Here is a 23,176-nt window from a genome sequence, read left to right as displayed (position 1 = left end):
AAAGGAGAGATTCTAAGAAATGATTATATTGGTGGTTCATGTTTGAAATTCATTAGATTCCTTGGTTCTTTGGGATTCCACCATAGACAGCAAGACAATAGTCATTGAGCAATTGCTATGACATAAGTAATGAGCAAAATGTTTTAAATGAAAAGCTCATTTAATACTCTCAGAGAATTAATGGAGAGACCAGAAATGAAACTAGAAGCTACTAGTTTCATTTCATACATTACCAAACTCAGACTTTGAGATAATCTTCCTAGAATCAAGATTTTCCTCAAAGAGTAAGAATACAGAGCTGAGTCAATATTCTACAATATTATATAGTTGGCTACTTGGTTACCTGATATTTCTGAGAGTTTTGATTAAAAAATGTGTAAAAGATTCTGATAGGACACAGGCTTTTTAAACTGCTTCTCATTCCTTCATCCAAACTCCTATTTCATAAGGTGCTACCTGCTTCCTTTGCCTTTTCTGAAACTCAAGTTTCTTATGTTCCAGGGTACCCAGGAGTTCTGAAGGGCATTTCACATTTTTAAGCAATACTGTCTGTTAGACATCCTGCAAAGTACACCTCCAAGGTAGTTCACACTTTAAATATTAGATTATATATTTTTATGACATCATATCTTTACAAGAATGCCACAAAAATAAATATGAAATAGGAAATGAGGTTGGTGATATAGTTAAATTCCAAGGTTTGAAAAATTGTACCTCATTTAATGGGCGCACAAACCCCATTAGCAGTTCATTGTGGTTAGTTAAGAATGAAATTAAAATGTTATATCTTGTTTCAATTCATATGCATTTTTTTAAAAAATGGCCATCAAGTCCTTAGGACAAAAGTACAGTACTTATTAGGTTATTTGAGCCTAACTCTGCAGTAATCTGAATTTTTATGTATTTCTTTTGGCATAGGGGCACCAAGAGATTTCTGACAAAGGGCATTAAAACTGAGAAAGTTTGGGAACCTCTGAATGCTGTAGGTGAGTATAAGTTCAAACTCGGGGCCCCAAAGGTCAAGTTATATTAATAGATAATTAACTATTTTTTGTTTGTTTGTTCGTTTTACTTTTTATTTATTTACCTTTTTTGGGACTTACACATATGTCCACAAGTCTTCATGAGTGTCAACCAAAGGGCATATGACACAACAGAGCAAATCTTGGACAGTAGTAAGTGGCAGGTGCGATGGGGGCATGTAGGTAGATTCCTGCTCATTTATCTTTTTTTTGGATCACTCTAAGGTGCGTTTTTTTTTTTTTTTGGTAGTCCTTTGAGATAAAGTTCTGCAGATCACGTAAGCACCTTCAGTAATACAATGGCTGTGTCTTCTTGAAGCTCTCAGCTTCATAGCTTTCCTTGACTCGGTTTTCATTCTCATCATCATTACTGTCCTGGTTTTTAATCTTATCAATACACTGTCATCACTGTAAAATTTTCTCCAATTCCAATTTCTAAATAAGCCAGACTAACACGGTACCGTCATCCACCTCAAACAACAAAAGTATTAATTGATAGTTATCATGTGAATTAATCCATAGACATTTGACTATAGGTCCTCAAAAATATAGAGATTACAAAAAGGAGTTTGAATGTAGAAAAATGAAATATCAGTTCCTGGAATCTTTCCTAAAATGTCCACACACGAGCACACTGACAAATTTTAGTAATATTAAGCTATGTTCTTAGATATCTCCATTTTATTTTTCTGAAAATCTTAGCAATATAGTCACTATTTGGCTATTTGGTTTAAAATTAGTCATCAAAATAATCAAGTAAATCAAAGTTAGAGTTATTTTACCCATCTGATGTTAAAAATGAGTCATATTTTAGTCTTGTCAGTATCAGAAACGTCCAATAGAATCAAAGCAGGAAAGCACCTAGCCTTTGTTAAGTGTCAAGTTCGGATACCAATGTAAGCGCTACAAGTATGTTATTACATTTCATACTCACGTATCACTTATGAGATAGGTACTACTATTCCTGTTTTATAGAGGACTGCACTGATATCAGAGTTGGTAAGTTGCACGATCTCACAACTAAAAAATGAGCAATTTGGTTTTATAGCTAGGTTCATCTATTTCAAAACAGGGTTAAAAAATGAGCACTTTAGGGGGTTATCAAAAAGTTACACACTTTAAGTTGCTAATAATCTGCTTACACAATGGTTTCTAATAATGAACTTCAAATGATATATTAGCTCATTCATTAAATGGGGGTTTGTTCTGCCACAGAGGGCAAAAAAGATACAGATGCCTCTCCTTATTCATTGCTCCCACAACGTTTCTTCACACTGAGTATCCCCACTGACTTCTGAGACACTGAACACTGAAAGCAGTAAAAGGACAAGATCAGATCTTGCTTTGCCCCCTGTTGGGCTCTTCTGAACTCTCTTGAAGCTCCTGGGGATTCAATATGAGCTCAGAGTTCAGTTCAACTTCACCAAGAGAAAGAATGTGCTAAGAATTTGGATCCCATAAAGGGTTCTTTCCCTATGTCTTCCCATTAGTGTTCATTTACTTAAAAGTCTGAAGTCAATATTTTTTAGCTTGAACCTTCAATCATCAGTCAATCTCTCCTTTCTTTTCTTTAATCTAAACACCCATCTGAACTGATGTGCTATTGCAATGGCGTTTATCCCCAATTCTTTCAGAAATCTATTTGGTTAATGATTCTGATTCAAAAGCCATACTGTTAACAACCACTGATATTTTCCTTTTCACATCTCAGCTTTCAGAAGTATTCAAATAAAATGATTTGATTTCCCAAATGACAATAAAAATTCTCTTTACAAATATCAACTGAATTTTCAGAATTTTGTCAGCTGATCTATTATGGTGTGTGTCACCAAAGTCATTAACACAGTGTTTGAAGCTCATACTCTTTGGGTTGTCAAAGGTGTCAAAGATTTTTGTAGATAACATTCAATAAACTGACACACATTCCTTTTGATTATCATATAAATCACATTGACCATCCTCTATGAGAGGTATATGCTCTGTGTCACTGCTCCTCTCTCATATTTTTTTTTCCTAACTATAAATCTTCCCTTTTCTGCCTTTGAATTCTGGATTTGATGACACCAAGACAAAACAGATTAGTTTATTCTCGTGATTAGCACATTGATAAATAGTAGCTATCACGAGTTTCACGAATGAATTAGCTGCTCTGTGTACGCACATATGTCTTGATGATTATCATGCCTACTGTTATTCCTTTGTTTCACTTATTTTATCCTCAAACATAGACACCGTGCAGGAAGGAACCAGCAAGGAGGATGTATTTTTAATATAGAAATAGCCTAATAGGAAAACAGCATGAATTTAAACCAAAATGAAAACTTACCCTTACCACCTCTACCTTGCAGAATTTCATTAACAAAAATGATCTACAGGACTTAAAAGAGAAGTGATATTACTGAAATTAGCACTATATGTTGTAGGCTCTTAAAAACATATGTCTGCTGAGATGTGGTCAACCTGATTGTCAGGCCATTGAGGAAGTAAAGGAATAACAAGAAAAGAAAGCACAGAGTGTGGGATCATGGAGACCTTGGAATTTATCCCATGTGGTATTCCTCCAAGGATTCCACAGAGTCTCTAGTGACCTCAGGAGTATGTGCAGTTTGCTCCAACACTGAAAACTTTAAGAATAGACAGGAATTTAAGCAAACTCACAAGAAAAAAAAAAAAACATTAAAAAGTGGGCAAAGGATATGAGCATTTCTCAAAAAAAGACATACATGCGGCCAACAAACATACAAAAATAGCTCAACATCACTGATCATTAGAGAAATACAAATCAAAACCACAGTGAGATACCATCTCATGCCAGTCAGAATGGCAGTTATTAAAAAGTCAAGAAACAACAGATGCTGGCGAGGTTGCGGATGAATAGAAACGCTTTTATACTATTAGTGGAAATGTAAATTAGTTCAACCATTGTGGAAGATAGTGTGGTGATTCCTCAAAGATTTAGAACTGAAAATACCATTTGACCCAGCAATCCCATCACTGAGTATGTACTCAAAGGAATATAAATCATTCTATTATAAAGATACGTGCACGCATATGTTCATTGCAGCACTGTTCCCAAGAGCAAAGACATGGAACCAGCCCAATCAGTCAATAATAGATTGGCTAAAGAAAATGTGGTACATATACACCACAGTATGCTATGCAGCCATAAAAAGGAATGAGATCATGTCCTTTGCAGGGACATAGATAAGGCTGGAATGTATTATCCTCAACATACTAATGCAGGAACAGCAAGCCAATCATTGCATGCTCTCACTTATGAGTGGGGGCTGAACAATGAGAACACATGGACAAACGGAGGGTAACAACTCTTACTGGGGCCAGTCAGGGGAGAGTGGTACGGGGAGAGCATTAGGGAAAGAGCTGCTACATGCTGGGCTTAATACCTTGGTGATGGGTTGATAGGTGCAGCAAACCATCATGGCACACGTTTACCTATGTAACAAGCCTGCACATCCTGCACATGTACCCTGAAACTTAAAAAACAAAAATAAATAAATTTGAAAAAAACAAGAATAAATATTTTAGATCATACTACCAGGTTTCAACCTTACCTTTACCACTGTCTAGATCTGTAAAATGAAGTAAGTTACTCTGTTTTTGAAACTCAATTTTCTCATCTAATAGTGAAAATAATAATAACTCAGAGGTTTATTTAGAGTATTAAATGAAAAGATACATTTGAAATTATTGGTCTATTGAAAGCAACATAGTTTGCACTCAATAAATGTTAGCCTTTCATTATTGTTTTTGTAAATCAGTTTATATTTACATGCCTTTCTATTATTGACTCTTTCTCTTGCTGTATTTTTCTTCTTTTTATGACTCCAAAATACAGAATGCTTCAGGGAAAATAAATAAATAAATAAATATTTTTCATTGAATTTCTCATGTTTCCCATAAAAGAGTCCTTGCAGGCAGACTTGGTGTACAAGTCACCTTGTAAGCTTACAATCTGTTTGCCCCACCTTCTGCCTTAGTTACATTATAAAACATGGTCCACTGAATTGAAGCCATGCTCATAGAGCCACATGGCAGAAAGCATTGTCTCTTGTGTGTGAGGTATTGCCTCTGATTATTTCTCTCAGGAGAAAGGACCAGAAGTTGGAACTTCACAGATGCCTCTGTAATGCAGTCATCAATCCTGTTGGATGACAAATATAATTACTGCAGACATTCAACACACTGATTATATTAATGAGAAGTTATACAGCCTTCTTCCAGTACTTTTGTGAAGCCTTACTTAAAACATTTCATCTTAAAAAAAAAAGCCAAGATCTATGGGGCATATCCTCAATGGGTTTTGAAGAGGGAGCCCTGGAGGAAAATAATAGTGTAGAAGGAGAAAATGTTACCAAAGATAAAAGTTAGTTAGTCTCCCCAAAGGAAACAAACAAACACACAAGCAAAAATAGGTCTAGAGCAGAACCCAAAGTGGCCTTTATACAGTCAAGTCAATCTATCAATCAATGGCTTTCCTGGAACCAGATCAATACCAGGCTAAATATTTATTTGATGACAAAGACTGTGTGTGTGTGTGTGTGTGTGTGTGTGTGTGTGTGTTTGTAGAAGGTGATAAAAATGGGTAAAAGGAAAGTTTTCCTGTAGTGTTATCCCTAAAAAATTACTATAGAGCCCAATTACTTTAGACCCTATATTTGTTGGAAAGTATCTATAAAATCATTTTTTAATATAGAAAAAAATCTAGCATCCAGGAACTAAGACAAAGACCAAGTATCACATATTGCAAGTAAAAATGAGCATCACCATGTCACATACCTAACTCCAAATTTCCCTTACTTGCCTCAGATTGATTTCTTTGTCTTTCTGTTTCTTTGTCTTTGAATTTCTTGATGAAATTCTGTTCAAGAATTTTGTAGTTACAAACATCAGGTAAACATGGAGATAGAAAGATGATCATGCATTATTTCTTAAGTCACCAGTAATGTAAAGAAGGCAGACTTGTAATGATTCAGAATAATTTGATTGAGGAATATATAGGATACTGTGGAAGCAGGGTGAAGATCTCATGTTTGAAATCAGATGTGTTGGTTATGTGCTTGTTTAGATTTTGTTTTCCCAAGAAAACATATTTTTTCCTATAGTTTAACTTGGTACTACTTTGCTTACACGACTTGGATTGTTCAAAAATGAACAGTCTTTCATTTGATTACTATCATTTTAAGAATGTGTAAGTAACCAAAACAGGTTTTAATACCTTAGCAATTTTAATACATAGATACTGTAGAAGGGAAAAGGTTCTTTTTTTTCTTGGAATGTTACATGGAGAAGTATTGAAGTTGGAGCTGACAGTGGCAGTCTTAGTCAAATGCAGACAGTTTCTTTTCGGAATATAAACATTAGAGAGTCAAAGAGATATGAAAAGGAGAGAGAGAGAAAAAGGAAGGAAGAAAGGAAACTTGTACCAAACCATATCTGGTTTTCCCATTGATATAAAGTCAATAATACCTCTATTTTCCTAGAAGTCTGAGCTGAGTATCAGAAATTATCAGTCACAAGTGTTCTGGCTATAAAAACATTGACACATTATTATTAACTAAAGTCTAGACTTTCTTTGGATATCACAAGTTTTCTAACAGTGTCTTTTCTGTTCCAGAATCCAATCCAGACTACCATATTACAATAATTGAGCTTTTAAAGAATACTACACAATACGTTCATACCATACAGGTACAAGTTACCACAGTAAATTGTTATTATTAATGCCACCCATATCCAAAATCTCAGGTTCCTTTCGTCACAGAAATAGGATATTTCAGTGCCAAATTATTTGTTGTTTGTCAAAGTTCTGAGCATATGCACACAATTTAAAAATATGTCACATAATTAATCTGATGTCTATTTATTAGCAATTTGTTAGTGTTATCAATTAAAATCTGTTCCCATTGGAAATACTTTCTTGAACAGTCAACATCACATTATCAAGTATGAGAGAGTGTGAGAAACCACTTTGGCAAACTTCCTCCTATTCATGATAGAATCCCATAACTCAGATCTTAATAGGAATGGATTTAAATTTGCGGTCATTAAGGCATGTCTCCACTTTGTATGAGGGTTTTAATTTCATATTTGTCATTTAGGAAAACTGATTTGTATTTTAATGGGAAAATCACTAGGTAAACTTTTGGAACATTTCACCTAGAGGTTGACAGGAACGTCAAAAGAAGTGAGTTTACAACTTTAAAAATGAATGATTTGGACTCTATAAACTATAATTGCTTAATTTTTTCAAATTAGATACTCTATCGGAAATTAAACCAGATTTGAAATCTCCCTGCATGTAAAGAGCATTATAATGCACTCAATTTTCAAAATGTGATAGGTGGTTACTTTTCCAATCAAATAAAGATATATGCTTTATTCATATTTAAAATACACATTTTGTAAGTCTTTTCTATCAGTATTACAAACTATATCAAAAATTGACTTTGTCTCTTATTTTTATAAATATGCTTTTTAAAATTATTTTGTCTACAAAGTTGTGTATGTGTCGTGTTTCACATCAGGAGTTCAAGAGAATTCCTGTTGTGTAAGTATGCATTTATTGAAATGATTTCTTTTTTTTTGGTACAGTGAGAAATATTTTAGCAACAATAAGAAACATAAAAAAGGTAGTTTCAAATGAGTCAGATATAAGCTATTGACCAATTTTCTAAAGCAATTTTCTAATACCCCATGAAAACATTGGGTTTTAACATTCATTAGGAGAAAATTAGTCATCAGTATAAAACTAGAAATTAAAAATTTCTTTAATTATCTAAAGTAAGATGTTTTGAAAGAACTTCAGGCACTTGGATACATTATTTATACATTTCGGTTTCCCCGTAGTATCTATATCTTAAGTCTATCATAAAGATTATCTGGAATGATAGTTGTGAAGTGCCTAGCATGGCTCCTGGCAAGCATTTGATTAACAGAAATTATGTTTACATGTTTCTCCATTGTGTGAATATCACTTATTAGGTCAACTGCACATATTACATCAGGTCCAGGTGATGCAAAGGACACTACTTCATTCTTAATTTTGACACAACAGTCTGTACATTTCCACTTTTTTGCTAGATACATATTGTTCCAATAATGTTTTATTATAGCATTGCCCCTCTGATACAGCATATAGTTTAGGGACATGTTTTGCATTTAGCTGTGTAGTATCTTTACACTTCTTTTATCTGGAAGTGATTCTCAGCATTACTGCACCATTCATGACACTGACACTTTGAAAACTACAGGTCGATTATCTTACAGACTGTTCCTCAGTTTTGGAGCTGTCTGGTGCTTCTAGAGATGAGATTCAAGTTGTGGATCCCTTGCCATCTTATGGTTCAAATGAGCCAGAATCCTTTCTCATGTATCACACACATTCAGGAGTAGATGGTATCTGGCTGTCACTCAAAGCAACATTTATCATAATCCTCAACTCATTGTCAGGCTTCTCCACTGCATACAACTATATTTGACTTTCCACATAATAAGCAGTCTCCAGGGAAACTTTTTGAGATGAGGCCACACTGGTATCATCAACCCTCACTCCCCATGACAATTACCTGGAACAATTTTAACCATGAGAATTGCAGAGTAGCAATTTTCCACCTCCTCCTCTCTCATCACCTTGAAGAGTTGAAATGCCACTGTCAGAATGTGTTCTCTCTTTTTCATTGTTTCCTTTCTTATATACAATTTATCTGTCAATCTTTATATCTATCTGCTTATTGTCAAAGCAAAATCACACATTCCCCTTTTATTTAAGAGGTTATAATCCGTCACCGTCTTTATCTATTTTGATGACAAAATTATTCAGATTTGGCTACAGAGGCCCCTTCGAGGCATCTCTTGTGTCTTTTTGTTATGTCCCCATCATTTCTGGATCCGCTGGCATAACTAGATGTCCCAGGCTCATTTTGCAATTTCGTTGTCCTCGGTCCACAATCTATTATGTCTTGAGGATTTCTGGTTTCTTTTGGTAGTGAGTAGAAACCAAATTCTGAAATCTTAGAAACCAAATTCTGAAAACTAGATTTGCTCATTACTACCAGAATTAGGGTCGTTTCTAAGCCACTTCAGTGAATAGGAAAAAAATGCAACATAGATAATATAAACACATATAATATACACACACACAATCATGATTATATATATTTGTAGACACAGATATTTTCTTCTTTGGTAAACCACAGCTTTTAACAACAATGCTTTAGCTCATTAGTTCAATTGTACAGTACTTGAAGGAGTTTCCAAATTTCTATACCCCCAAAATTACAAAAATTAAGCATACTAAGAAAAGTGAAAGTTTTTTTAAATTTCGTTTTTTAAGGAGGACTTTTTCCTCATTATTTTTTACTTTTTTCCCTCTCTTATAAACAAAAAGCAGCATACAATATATAATTTTGGGCACTTTTCCTTCTCAATTGAACAACACATTTTAGAAATCACTTTCTATTAGTAAATAGACATTCTCATTAGTTTCAAGGCAGCACTGTACTACATGGTGTACAGTACATGATGTATAGAAATAATTTGTTCAAGAAATTTCTTATGTTTGGGCATTTAGGTTATTTTCAATGTGTTGCACTCACATATAATACTGCAGATAATAACTTTGTACATTGTACAATTTTTTTATATTGCTGCAAGTGTTTCTTCAGAATAAATTCTTAGACATTCGATTGCTTGGGCAAAGGACAAATGAACATATAGCTTTGTTAAATGTTGGCAAACTCTTCCTATAAGTGTTTTACCATTTTGCATGTGAAACATGTGGGAGAACAGCGCAGGTTCTCTATATTCTAAACAAGACAGTACATTGTCAAGCTTTTGGAGTCTGGCCAATCCAATGGGTGAGATGCAATATATCAATGTTTTAATTTGCATTTCTCTTATTACATGTGATATCTTATCTATTCATATGTTCAATGCTTATTTTAATATCTTTATTTGAGACTTGTTTGTGTTATTGGCCCACTTTTCTATATGATTTGTGAGCTATTGGTTTCTTAATATTTAACTGTTCTTTATATATGAAGGTTATTTTGTCCTTGTCATTCTCTTCATTTTTCCCAAGTTATTAAAGAATTTTGCCCTCTGCTGCTCCTTCCTTCCCTGCCAACTTCCCCTCCTCCTCTTAGGTCTCTGATTCATTTAGGGTTTTTTCTTGTGTATAATGTGAGGAATCGATTGAATTTAATCATTTTTCTAATTGCTCTCTTGTTTCTCCAGCACTATTTTTAAAAGTTCCACTTTGAGTCAGTGCTTTGAGATATTTAGCTATGCTGGATTTTGTACTCCGTTATGTATTCTTCTGGATGGTATTCTGTTTCACTCTTTTGTCTGCTTTTGTGAAAATACTACATCTTTTTAATTTAATTTTATTTTGAAGAAGTTATCAAGCAGATTTTAATATGTGACAGGATCCGTCCTTAATTATTCTGTGCAGGTTTTTTCTAAAAGTTTTTGTGTGCTTATTTCTTCTAAGTGTGGTATAGTATCAACTTACTACTCTAAAGAAAAAAAAATATTGATTGTATTTTTAATGGAATCAAAATAAAATTATAAATTAAACCAAATTAGGGAAAACTAAAATTGTGATGTTTCAAGACATTTAAACTAAGAGCAAGGGACATATCGTTCCATTGGCTCAAGTCTACTTTTGTGTATTTCAAGAGTGGTTTATGCTACACACATGCACACACGTAGACTATGGAGATATGATATGTGTAATTGCCCAATGGACTTATTTTACTCACCAGCCAGAAAAGCCCATGTACTGAGACACTCTTATTGCAATAAAGAAATAGTTTAATAAGTACAGAGCAGGCTACATGGGAGATTGGAGTTCCATTATTACTCAAGTCAGGCTCCCCAGAAATTCACAGGCTAGGTCTTTTTAATGGTAGTTTGGTAGGCAAGGGCCTAGAGAATGGGAAGTGTAGAATGGTCTACAAAAGATTGGGTGGCTTGGGGATGAAATCAGAGGGACTCGGAGCTTTTCTTTTTTGGCTGAGTCAGTTCCTGGGTTGGGGCCAGAAGACCGGTGGAGCCAGTTAACTGGTCTGGGTGGTACCAGCTAGTCCATGAGAATGAAGGGTCTGAAAATACCTCAAACACCAATGATAGATTTTACAACAATAATGTTATCTACAGGAGCAACTGGGGAAGTTAGGATTCTCGTGGCCTCTGGCTGCTTGACCTCCAAGACATAATTTCTAATGTTGTGGTTAATCTGTTTGTTTTACAAAGGCAGTCTGATCCCCAAGCAAGGAGGGAGTTAGTTTGGGAGAGGGGCTGTTATCATTTTTATTTCAAAGTTAAAGTACAAAGTAACTTCCTCCCATAATTAGCTTGGCCTATGCCCAAGAATGAACAAGGACAGCTTGGAGGTTAGAAGCAAGATTGAATCAGTTAGGTCACATTTCTTTCACTTTCATAATTTTCCTAGGTCAGATTTTTCTGTCATAATTTTTGTAAAAGGGGCTTAAATGTGTACAGAGTTTTTCTACCTCTCTCTCTCAACCACCTCAAATAGGCATTTCCATTACATGTGTCTTTTGTTGTAATGAATAACACATTGAACTAAGTCTGTGACAGTTCTAGAAAACATTTAATATTGACAAAATATCTACAACCCACCACAAATGTTACCACATCCTTTACATTATTCTAACTATGATTCTTCCTTTTTGCCATCAGACAAGTCATTTCTAAAATGGAGATATTATACCGAATAATCTGAGTTCTGTGGTGTTAAACGAGAATCCTTCAACACCACAATTCTTGATAATGTTCCCTTTAGTTCATTATTTACTTAACTTCTCAAATACTTTGTACTAAAAGGCTTACAATATTAGGAAGAGTATTTTTATAATTGTTAAACTATTGCCTATTTTGCTATTGAAATTAGTGGCTAGATTTCAAATGCGTGTTTTGTTTAATTCACTAAGAAGATGGGTGGCATTTTATGTTTTTAATTATAAAGATGGCCTGTAGGGAAATAGCTAATTATCCTAAACATCCTTAAAAACTCCCAAAAGGAAATACAGAAAACCCTATTTCAAATGCATCTGTTAGAATAGCTTAAAAGTCTTTTGACAAACTCAAGGTTCATCACAATGGTGGGATTTATTAGGACCCTTTATGGACATGCTACACAAAGAAAAAGCAGTATTATCCAATGCAGAAACCTGTAGCTGCAAGAGAGGGAAATACCATTTAAATGCAAATCTTCTAATCCAGGAGATTCACTCTCTAAATAGAAGTGAGTCTTCAGGGTGACTCATGAAGTTAGCAATATATGACCATTCTTCCGGGATTACTTATTTTAAGAAATTTAATAATCTGCTTTATTATGTGAGGAAACCACATTTCTACCACTTATCTCCCAGACTTTTCACAGTGACTGTTGCTTATAATATGTGGATTTCCTGGTTATTAAAAGTTTCAGTGGCTCCTTAAGTTATAAATCAGGTACCAAAAATCTCCAGTTCTAGCTACATTAGTAAATGGTCTATGATAATTACATAGTATATATTCTTCAGTCACAATTATTGGAAACGTATTGAAGAATAGCATCTTACAAAGACGCATGAGTACGAATATTTGAGATAATAATCTTTCATAAGAACATCTCTGTTACTGGAAGGGGATCTGGATCCAGACCCCAAGAGAGGGTTCTTGGATATTGTACAAGAAAGAATTCAGGGCAATTCCACACAGTAAAGTGAAAGCAAGTTTATTAAGAAAGTAAAGGAATAAAAGAATTGCTACTCCACGGAGTAGCCCAAGGACTGCTGGTTGCACATTTTTATGGTCATTTTCTTGAGGATATGGTAAACAAGGACTGAATTATTCATGCCTCCCCGTTTTAGACCACATAGGGTAACTTCCTGACATTGCCACGGCATTTGTAAACTGTCATGGCGCTGGTGGGAATGTAGCAGTGAGGACAACCAGAGGTCACTCTTGTCACCATCTTGATTTTGGTGGGTTTTAGCTGGCTGCTTTATTGTGACCTGTTTTATCAGTAAGGTCTTTATGACTTGTATCTTGTGCCAACCTCCATTCTCATCCTTGGACTTACAATGCCTTAACCATCTGAGAATGCAGCCCAGTAGGTCTCAGCCTCACTTTATCCAGCCCCTACTCAAGATGGAGTTGCTCTGTTTCAAATGCCTTAGACAGTTCCACTGCAAGATATACACCTATGAACTTTTTCCACAGATTACACTGTATATACACTTAAAAATTACCATATTCTATGGCATAGATAACTGTTTGTAAGCTATGTTTGTGATGTTGTTCCAGAATTTTGGTTTGTAAGAAGCAGCCATCTTCAATATCCATAACTTTTATGATACTCACTTGTAAGTAATCAATGACTCAATCTCTTGGTGATGTCAAAGAAAAAGATATAAGGTGTAAAGGAAATTTATTTCTTAATATAAGTTTTACTTTTGGTCACATAATTAGGATTGGAAGGTCTGAAACTGACTGATTTCCTCTACTAAAACCAGCGTCATGCTTTAAAAATCTCCAAGAAACAGAAAAACCGTATGAGTTTATAAATTAGTTTACATTCCTTGAAGGATTATAGGCATGTGTCTGGCTAGGTAATGAAGTGTTTCAGTGAAATAGGGCAGAAAGGGATTTCAGGTCAGAATCATAGCATATGCAAGTCAAGGGAGGTTTAAAAATCAGATATGTTGATTGAGGTATGTTGGTGAGGACATAGAAGAAAGGAAACCTTTGTACCCTATCGAAGGAAATGTAAATTAATATAGCCATTCTTATTCTGGAAAACAATATGTAATATCCTTGAAAAATTAAAACCAGAACTACCATATAATCCAGCAGTCTCCTTACAGAGTGTATATATGCAAAGGAAATGAAATCTATTATCTTGAAGAGATGTCTGCACTCTCATGTTCATTTTTGCATTATCCATTATAGCAAAGAAATGAAATCAACCTTAAGTGTCCATCAGTGAATGAATGGATAAAAAAATTGTGGAATATATACATGGTGGGATGCTATTCACCTTTAACAAGGAATGAAATTCCGTCATTTGTGATAACATGGATGAACCTGGAGGACATTACTTTAAATGAAGTAAGCCAGGCACAGAAAGACACATTTTACATGGTATCACTTCTGTATGGAATCTAAGAAAGTAGAACTCATAGAAACAGAGTGAACTGGTGATAACTAGAGGCTGAGCGGTGGGATGAGTGGAGAAATGTTTGTCAAAGTATATAAAAGTTCAGTTAGGAAAAATAAGTTCAAGAGACCTATTGTATATCATGGTGAATATAGTTAATAATAATAATAATATATTGTACGATTGAAAATTGCTAAGAGTATATTTTAACTATTTTCACCACAAAAAAAAACTATGTAAGGTAATACATATGTTACATAGCTTGAGTTACTCATTCCACAATGTGTAAATACATAAAACATCATGTTGTCCACCATAAAAATATACAATGTTTACTTGGTATATTAAAATAAATTAAAAATAAACAGATTTGATGAAGACAAATGACATAGAGGACAGAGGCAGGCAGAGAAGAAGGAAGTTGAGAAGGAAGAGACTGAAAGCACGTGTTAGGTTCTAATTATGTAAGAAAATGTCTTTGAAATCTTAATCTAAAATTTTTACAATTGACTATTCTGAAGGAATTTTTCTTTACTCACTGTTTTTCTCAGAGAATAACATGATATGTATTGTAGGAAGATAACTTTGTTCTAGGAGCAAGTGGAATAAATTATAGAGGGGAAAAACAATATTTAGGACACCAATACAATCACTAGGTCATAGATTATGGAGTCTCACCATAGCTATTGAGATTGTGAAAAATGACTTGAAAAATAAATATGGTGGGATTAAAAGCATTATGCAAATCAATATAGACAGAGAGAAATCAGAGACATTTCTTTATAACTTTGAAGACTAGGCAGATGGTAGCATTATTTGCTAAGTTATATGCTCGTTCATTAAAGCTTTATATTGAGGACCACGTGAAAGGTCTGTAGGAGGGGGCAGGGAAGTTTGGCATGCAAAGAGTCAGGTTCCTACCTGTGTAGAGTAAACCAGCAGGTTAGCAGCCTATCTGAGTTTGTAGGAGAGCAGAGATGTCTGCACCCATGTCCAGACTACATTATCATCAATTTATAAATCAGATTTTCTGCCTATTATAATTATCTGAAAATATACTTTAAAATGTATACCAATGCCCTAGACAGCTTTCTAGTGATTTTGAATTTACCCACATGTAAGTCCTTGGTATTTTTCTTATAAATTCCTCACAGTTTCTAATAAGTTTCTAATACTCCGAATGAGAATCACTGGTATAAACTATAAACAGTAACTGAGGAGAGTAGACACCTGTTTTATTTACTCTCTTTTGCGATCTTCACCTGCATAATTATTTGTTTAATATTTGTCTCCCTCACTATGACATGTAATAACAGAGACCAGATGTAACGTAGACACAGTTTTTTTGTTTGTTTGTTTTTTGAGACGCAGTTTCGCTCTTGTTGCCCAAGGTGGAGTGCAATGGCACGATCTTGGCTCACTGCAACCTCCGTCTCCCAAGTTTAAGCGATTCTCCTTCCTCAGCCTCCCAAGTAGCGGGGATTACAGGTGCATGCCACGACGCCTGGCTAATTTTTTTGTATTTTTAGTAGAGACGGGGTTTCACCATGTTAGTCAGGCTGCTCTCGAACCCCTGACTTCAGGTTATCCGCCCACCTTGGCCTCCCAAAGTGCTGGGATAGACACAGTTTTATTTCTTGGAATCCATTACTGTGAACAGGTTAGGGTAAACTGCTCACTCTCTCACTCATTCACTCATAATATCTTTTGAGCAAGGCTTGTGGATAACTGCTGGGAAAATGATGGAAAGTAAGATCCTACCCCATCCCTCACCTCACGGAGTTTACAGTTCTTTACATACAGAAAGAATGAAGGAAGCAACGAAAGAAAAGAGGGAGAAAGGAAGAAACCTGAAGTCAATATATATTCCGCCAAGGTTATGTTCATTTTTATATCTTATGACTTACTACAGATACATGGGATTTCAACATTATTGAATAAATGAAAGGCACATTTGGGGGACAAACAACGTGTGTGTGTGTGTGTGTGTGTGTGTACATGCAGTTTACTGTAAAATCCACCCATTAGCTTTTTACATATTTTTTTTCCTTTATGGCTGATCTGACAAGAAGTGTTAATAATCTGAATAAGAGGATGATGTTAACTAAGATGCATATGTTTATTTTTAACAGGCAAAATAACTTCTGCTAAGGACACTAATAATTCATGTTTCTCACTGTTTGTTCCCTAGAGGAAGCTGATTATTGTGAAATAGAGCAGAATCCTTTCTGTTTAGAATAGCAAAGTAGGAATGGTTAAATTATCCCAGGTTTCTTAAAAGGTGTAGATGCATATAAGTCATTTTAGAAGGGTAAATCTGCCAAAATTTCAAGAGTTGTGTTACGTAGAGCATTGGAAATGATTGGTTCGAGTTAAATTCTGTATATCTAACAACAATGCTTCTTTGGCCAAACTTCAGAATGAACTGTGTGGCATATAGTGTGATGACTATTGAGAGCTTCTTTAGAGCTGGATATGAAAGCAATATAAAGTGCGTAAAGGTTTGGCACATCTTTCAACAGAAAAGCAATATAAACATCTTTGTGGGGGCCAGGCCCTTAGAAAAAGAATATATAAATTTAATTGAAAAGTTAAAGAAAATACAGAAAATAAAATTTACAAAAATCATACTTGAGATCACAGAATCAGAATACCTGTGACCTGAGAAAAGCCTTTGAGAGTTTATCCCTACATGTTCAAGGGTTTTTTTTTTAATATATATTTTTTAATATATTTTTTCTATCAGTTTTGTTGAATTTGAATTGACATGTCATAAAATCCACAGTTTTATTTGTCTCATTCAATAATTTTTAGTAAATATAAAGAGTTCTACAATCATCACCCTAGTTAAGTTTTAGAACCTTTCAATCAACCCCAGAGATTCCATGTGTGTATTTGCTGACAATCTTTGTTTCCACACCCAGCCCCGATAACCACTAATCTACCTTCTCTCTCTATGGATGTGCCTATTCTGGATATTTTCGATAACGGAATCTTTCAATGCTTCGTCATTTGAGTGTGGCTTCTGTCACTTGGTATAACAAATTAGGCTCATGTGCAAGTCATTCTGGTTTTTTTGTTGTTGTTGTTTACCTTTCTTTTGCCAAATAATATCCAACCACACCAACCCTTTGAATTTAAAGGTGAGGTAACTGAGATTAAGAGAGGCAATGTAACTACATCAAATTCCCACAGCACGTCTGCGGCTCTTATTTTTCTTCTCTGGATATGAAACTGTCCTCAGGCACTGGACGCTAGACAACCACCCTGACTTCATCCTAGCTGGCTTTGCTTACCGGGGAGAGACATCACAATATTGAACATGATATTTTGTTGTAGTGCAACTGTCACTTTGCTAAGCCAGGAAGCTTGGTACTCCCCGTTATGCAGGCTTTTATTGTAAACTGCCATCCACAGAAAGCAACAGCCCCCTAATATCAATTTCTTTGGAAAAGTAAGCACATTTACTTTGGTAACTATTTCAGAATTATTTATCTATTTATTTATGTTTCTTCCACATCTAGCCTATAAGCATTCCAATGCCAAGGAGCTCACCAAGGCCTAGGGTTATAACCGACACACAGAGCTGTTTGGCTACAAATACATTTCTACCCAAATTCTTTGCTTTGTAAATAAAGAAACTCACCAAGTTTAACTTTTCTAAAGTCTCACAGTTTGTGAGTAGCAGTGATAAGTAAAGTTTTCAGATTTTGTTTATTACATTGATACTAGATTATACTTTCTTTGGGCAACATACAAAAGCTCGGGAAAAAGCTTATTATCATGCTTCCTAAAGTATAATATCCTATAAAATTAAAAATGAAGGCAACATGTAGAACAGGAGAAAATATTTGCAAATCATATGTCTGATATATCTGATAAGAGGTTAATGTCCAGAATATATAAAGAACACCTAAATCTCAACAATGACAATATTAATCTGATTAAAATGTGGGTGAAGGAGTGAAATAGACATTTCCTTCATGAAGATACACAAATGACGAAAGGATGTATTAAAAAATGCTCAACATTACTAATCATCAGGAAAATGCAAGATAAAACCACAATGAAGTATCACTGGACACCCATTAGAATGGTCAATAAAAACAAATGCCAAAAAATAACAAGTGCTGGCATAAATGTGGAAAAATTGGAACATTTGTGAGAATGTAAAATTGTGCAGCCATTATGGAAAGTAGCATGGGGTTTCTTGAAAAAATTAAAAATAGAATCACCAATGATCCAGTAATCTTACTTCTGCATGTGTATCTAAAAGAGCTGAAAACAGGATTTTTTTTTTCTTTGAGATGGAGTCTTGCTCTGTTGCCCAGGCTAGAGTGCAGTGGTGCAATCTCGGCTCACTGCAACCTCCGCCTCCTGGGTTCAAGTGATTTTCCTGCCTCTGCCTCCTCAGTAGCTTGGATTACAAGCATACGCCACCATGCCTGGCTAATTTTTGTGTTTTTAGTAGAGATGGGGTTTCACCTTGTTGGTCAGGCTGGTCTTGAATTCCTGACCTCGTGATCCGCCTGCCTAGGTCTCTAAGTGCTGGGATTACAGGCGTAAGCCATCGCACCTGGCCAAAAATAGGATCTAAAAGTGATATTTTGAAACTGCAGCATTATTCGTGATAGCCAAGAATTAAAAGCAACGTAAATGTCCATCCACAGGTGAATGGATAAAGACAATATGGTATATTAATACAATTAAATACTATTAAGCCTTAAAATATTAGGAAATTCTGCTACCACATGGATGAAACTTGAGGACAATATGCTAAGTAAAATAAGCCAGTCTCAAAAGGACAAATACTGCATGATTTCACTTACATGAGATATTTAAAGTAGTCAAACTCTTAGGAACATTAAGTAGAATGATGACTGCCAGGGTCTGGAAGAGAGGGAAATGGGGAGTTAATGTTTAGTGTATATAGGGTTTCAATTTTGCAAGATGGAAAATTTCTAGAGAGATGTTGCACACCAATGAGCATACATTAGCACTACTGAAATGTAAACTTAAAATGGTTACATTTGTAAATTATGTGTTTTATAAAACAAAAAAGAGAAGAACTTAATCATTGTTAAATGGATTTGAGTATTTGTTTATTCAAAAGGTATGAAATGTAAAACATGTATTTTTGCCAAAGAATATGCAATAAGGCTGGGCACAGTAGCTCATGCCTGTAATCTAGCACTTTGGCAGGCCAAGGTAGGCAGATTACGAGGTCAGGAGTTCGAGACCAGCCTTGGCCAATATGGTGAAACCCCATCTCTACTAAAAATACAGAAATTAGCCAGGTGTGGTGTCACGCACCTGTAGTCCCAGCGACTCGGGAGGCTGAGGCAGGGAGAATCGCTTGAACCCAGGAGGCAGAGGTTGCAGTAAGCCAAGATCACACCACAGCACTCCAGCCTAGGTGACAGAGCGAGACTTCGTCTCAAAAAAAAAAAAAAAAAAAAAAAAAAGAAAAGAAAAAGAATATGCAATGTATTAAAACAGGTATAATGGCCTATGTAATGATTGGCAATGTGATTTCTTCACTGACCAGATTTGGAATATAGAGTTTTCAATAAAAATATTCCTAAGGACACTATCATTTTAAATGTATCATCAGCTTGTATAACTCATATATTATCTTCTCTCCAATGATGTAAATAATTAGCAGCAAAGAGAATGCACAAGCATATTCTTTGGTTTGCTCAACAGAAAAAAAAACTGAATAATTTTGTTTATCTGTTACTCACTACATGAGGATCTTCAGAAGACTCAAATGTCTGGATTTTTCTGAAATGCCAAATTAAAAATTTCAGAAAGAATTATATCTGTGGCTTTGCTACATGCTCATAGAAGTTCTGGGTTTCTAGCTTATTTTTGTTAATCATTCAAAGCAGGGCTGTGTGTAAACATGTGTAATGTAAACATACGCTGTCCTTGGTGGATTGTTTAGACTCTATTTAGAGTAGACTGAGAGGTGTGTCACATTCCAATACACCAGTAGGAAGCTATGGAAGGCTCTGTGTGAACAGCCTGTTCTCTGTCCACTCTGGCATGCTTCTGTCTTCCTGAGTTCCTCATGTCCCCTCTTTGGTACACCTAAAGATCCAGCTGGCTTACAACTTTCTGATTTATTCATAGAGTGTGTTTGAGTCTTGGTTGCACCCCTTAGTGTCAGTATCTTAACTTCTCTCAGCCATCATTTCCTTATATATAAATAACTCCCATGGCTATAAATTTATCTTAACAGGGAATTACAAAGACATAGAGGTTTTGACAAAGACTCCTTTGCATCTGTCTATCCCTGGTGTACAATAATTACATCTGAATCATCTTTTAATCAGCTAGCTCAGGCCCAAAGCATAATAGGACTTAAGAAAATGTTCATCACATAAATACAGTTTTGTGGATGTAGAGTAGATAAGGTTGTGGGGTTGGAAGATGCAGATCCGAAATACAGCTAGAAGGATTTTGGTCAAACTATGTATGTCCCTGGTGTCATAGAGAAAGAAGGGAAGGCAAATAGTGTGTAAGATGTGACACAATAAGCTAGATTTATAAGAGATATCCCTGTTATCTAAATGCAGATACATGAATTTTATAACTGTTGGGTGTTTAGTAATTACCTAAGAGCACACTGTCCTCTCTACTTAGAGTTAATGCTTAAAATGTCATTACAAACTGGAAAGATTACACATTAACTCAAATGAATCATTACGGGGGAAGAAACTTTGTTATATTTTTCTGGGTCAGGGGTATCAGCTTTTTTTTAATGTTTTTTTTTAAATGTTTATTTCAATAGCTTTTGGTGTACAGGTGGTCTTTTTGTTGTATGGATGAATTATATAGTAGTGAATACTGACATTTTAGTGCATTCATAACCTGAGTAGATTACATTGCACCTAATGTGTAATTTTCTATCCTTAGCCCCTTTCCCACCCTCTATCTTCTGAGTCTTTAAGGTTTATTATGTCACTTTGCTTACTCATAGCTTAGCTCCTCTTTATGAGTGAGAACATGCGGTTTTTGGTTTTCTACTCCTGTGTTAGTCGACTTAGAATAATGGCCTCCAGCTCCACCCAAGTTGCTGCAAGAGACTTTATTTCATTTTTTTTAATGGCTGAGTAGTATTTCATGGTGTATACATACCATATTTTCTTTATCCACTCATTAGTCAGTGGGTACCTAGATTGGGTCCACATATTTGCAATTGTGAATTCTGCCCTTTTTAACATATGTGTGCAAGTGTCTATATAATGACTTATTTTCCTTTGGGTAGTGGGATTGCTGGATTGAATGGTATATCTACTTATACCTATTAAATGAACCTCCATACTCTTTTCCATAGAGATTGTACTAATTTACATTTCCACCAGCAGTATATGAGTGTTTCCTTTTCCCCACATCCACACTAACTAACATCTATTGTTTTTCAAAATTTAATAATGGCCTTTCTTGCAGGAGTAAGGTGGCACCTCATGGTGGTTTTAATTTGCGTTTCCCTGATGATTAGTGATGTTGAGCATGTTTTCATTTGTTTTGGCCATTTCGATATCGTCTTTTGAAAAATATCCATGTCCTTTGCCCACTTACGGGTGGTATTATTTGCTGTTTTGTTTGAGTTTCTTGTATTATAGATTCTAGATACTAGTCCTTTGTCATAGAGTGATTTACTTGAGGAGTATGGTTCAGAGTGCACAGACAAGAATTAGATTTCAACTGAATGCAGAAATAATTTCATAATAAGTGCTTTTCAGCTATGCAAGGGAAGTTATTGCAAAGGATACTGTGAAAATGCTTCTTCAGCAGTCCAGGTAAGATGCAAAGAAATCTCTTAGAGAAGGTGAAGTGTTTGGAGAAACATTTCTTTCATCTTGCAAACTATATTTTACAATTGCGTAGTTTTCCTCTGGTAAAGAAAAGTTTCTCTCACAGGAGAATTAATGACCTCTTTTAAAGAAAATCAGAGAGAGAGAGAGAGAAAAAAAACAAAGATGCAAAAAGACAGAAAAAGACACAGATACACAAAATACCACAGTTTTGCTTTTTGTTTTTCCTACATACACATACATCAGGTAAGTTGTCTTTGACATTTCAAACACAATATAATTATCTGCATGTAAAATAATTTAAATGACCCTTAATCACTCATTATTATGCACTCTTTAATATATCACCTAGTCACTCTTTAGTACAGCCAGGATCAATATCTTGTGAGTTTTTGTGCTACCGTACAAAATTTCAAGTTGCTTAAAGATTTGCTATTTTTACTTGCTTGGTAAGTATTAATTTATATTCCTTATTTAGATAGTAATAAGTTAATGATTTTAAAACACATCTTCAATATGAATTGCTGGAAATGTCACACACAATGGAATACTCATCTCTCTGCCACGAGTGTGGAAAATGCAATCATACATCTTTAGTCATTATAAACCAGTGTCCTGTCATTCAGCTCAAGTACACAGATGTAATTTCATATTTAATAAAGTGACCTCATGATTTATAAACCCTGTGAAAAAAAGAGTCATAATTCTGTTTTGTCTGTGTCTCCAACAGCACAAAATCCTCTAATTTCCTACAGTGAATTTGCATACAGTCATACCATGTTTCGGCTGTAAAGATGTATATACGCCTCATCAGAATGGGGATCTCGAGAAGTGTTACTGGTATTTTTCTCCATACAAACAGGTTGTACTCTTGAGTGGGCTCTTTTCTTCCTCTTGTCAAGGCTTCTGTGACCATCTGTCATTATTTCAACATCTGGAGGAGCAGATAAGCTGTTCCAATTGGAACATTGCAGTCAGCAACTTTCTCCAGGAAACTAAATTTGTCACTTCTGCAAAGCATTTGTCTCTTGCCAGCTTTTGACTTCCTATCCCCAGGCCAAACTGAAAAAAATCAGACCTCCAAGTTTGTAAGGCTGCTGTGCTATGGACTAATTCAGCTGTGGAATAAAGGATGACAAAGG

General features: G+C 35.1%; 1 long non-coding RNA gene across 3 annotated transcripts in view; it reads left to right on the top strand.

Moving 5' to 3' along the window:
* Window positions 1-23,176, top strand: part of LOC105371308 (uncharacterized) — a 512,336-nt gene that overhangs the window by 282,461 nt on the left and 206,699 nt on the right. For all 3 annotated transcript variants that reach the window (XR_001752232.2, XR_007065221.1, XR_007065220.1), the window contains exon 3: window positions 919-986. This is a non-coding gene — a long non-coding RNA (uncharacterized LOC105371308). The remainder of the gene's footprint in view (window positions 1-918; window positions 987-23,176) is intronic.

The sequence above is a fragment of the Homo sapiens genome, chromosome 16 (genome assembly GCF_000001405.40).
Source record: "Homo sapiens chromosome 16, GRCh38.p14 Primary Assembly".
Lineage (NCBI taxonomy): Eukaryota > Metazoa > Chordata > Mammalia > Primates > Hominidae > Homo > Homo sapiens.
The sequence above is the reverse complement of the archived record's forward strand: the minus strand, read 5'-3'. Positions and strand labels throughout refer to the sequence as shown.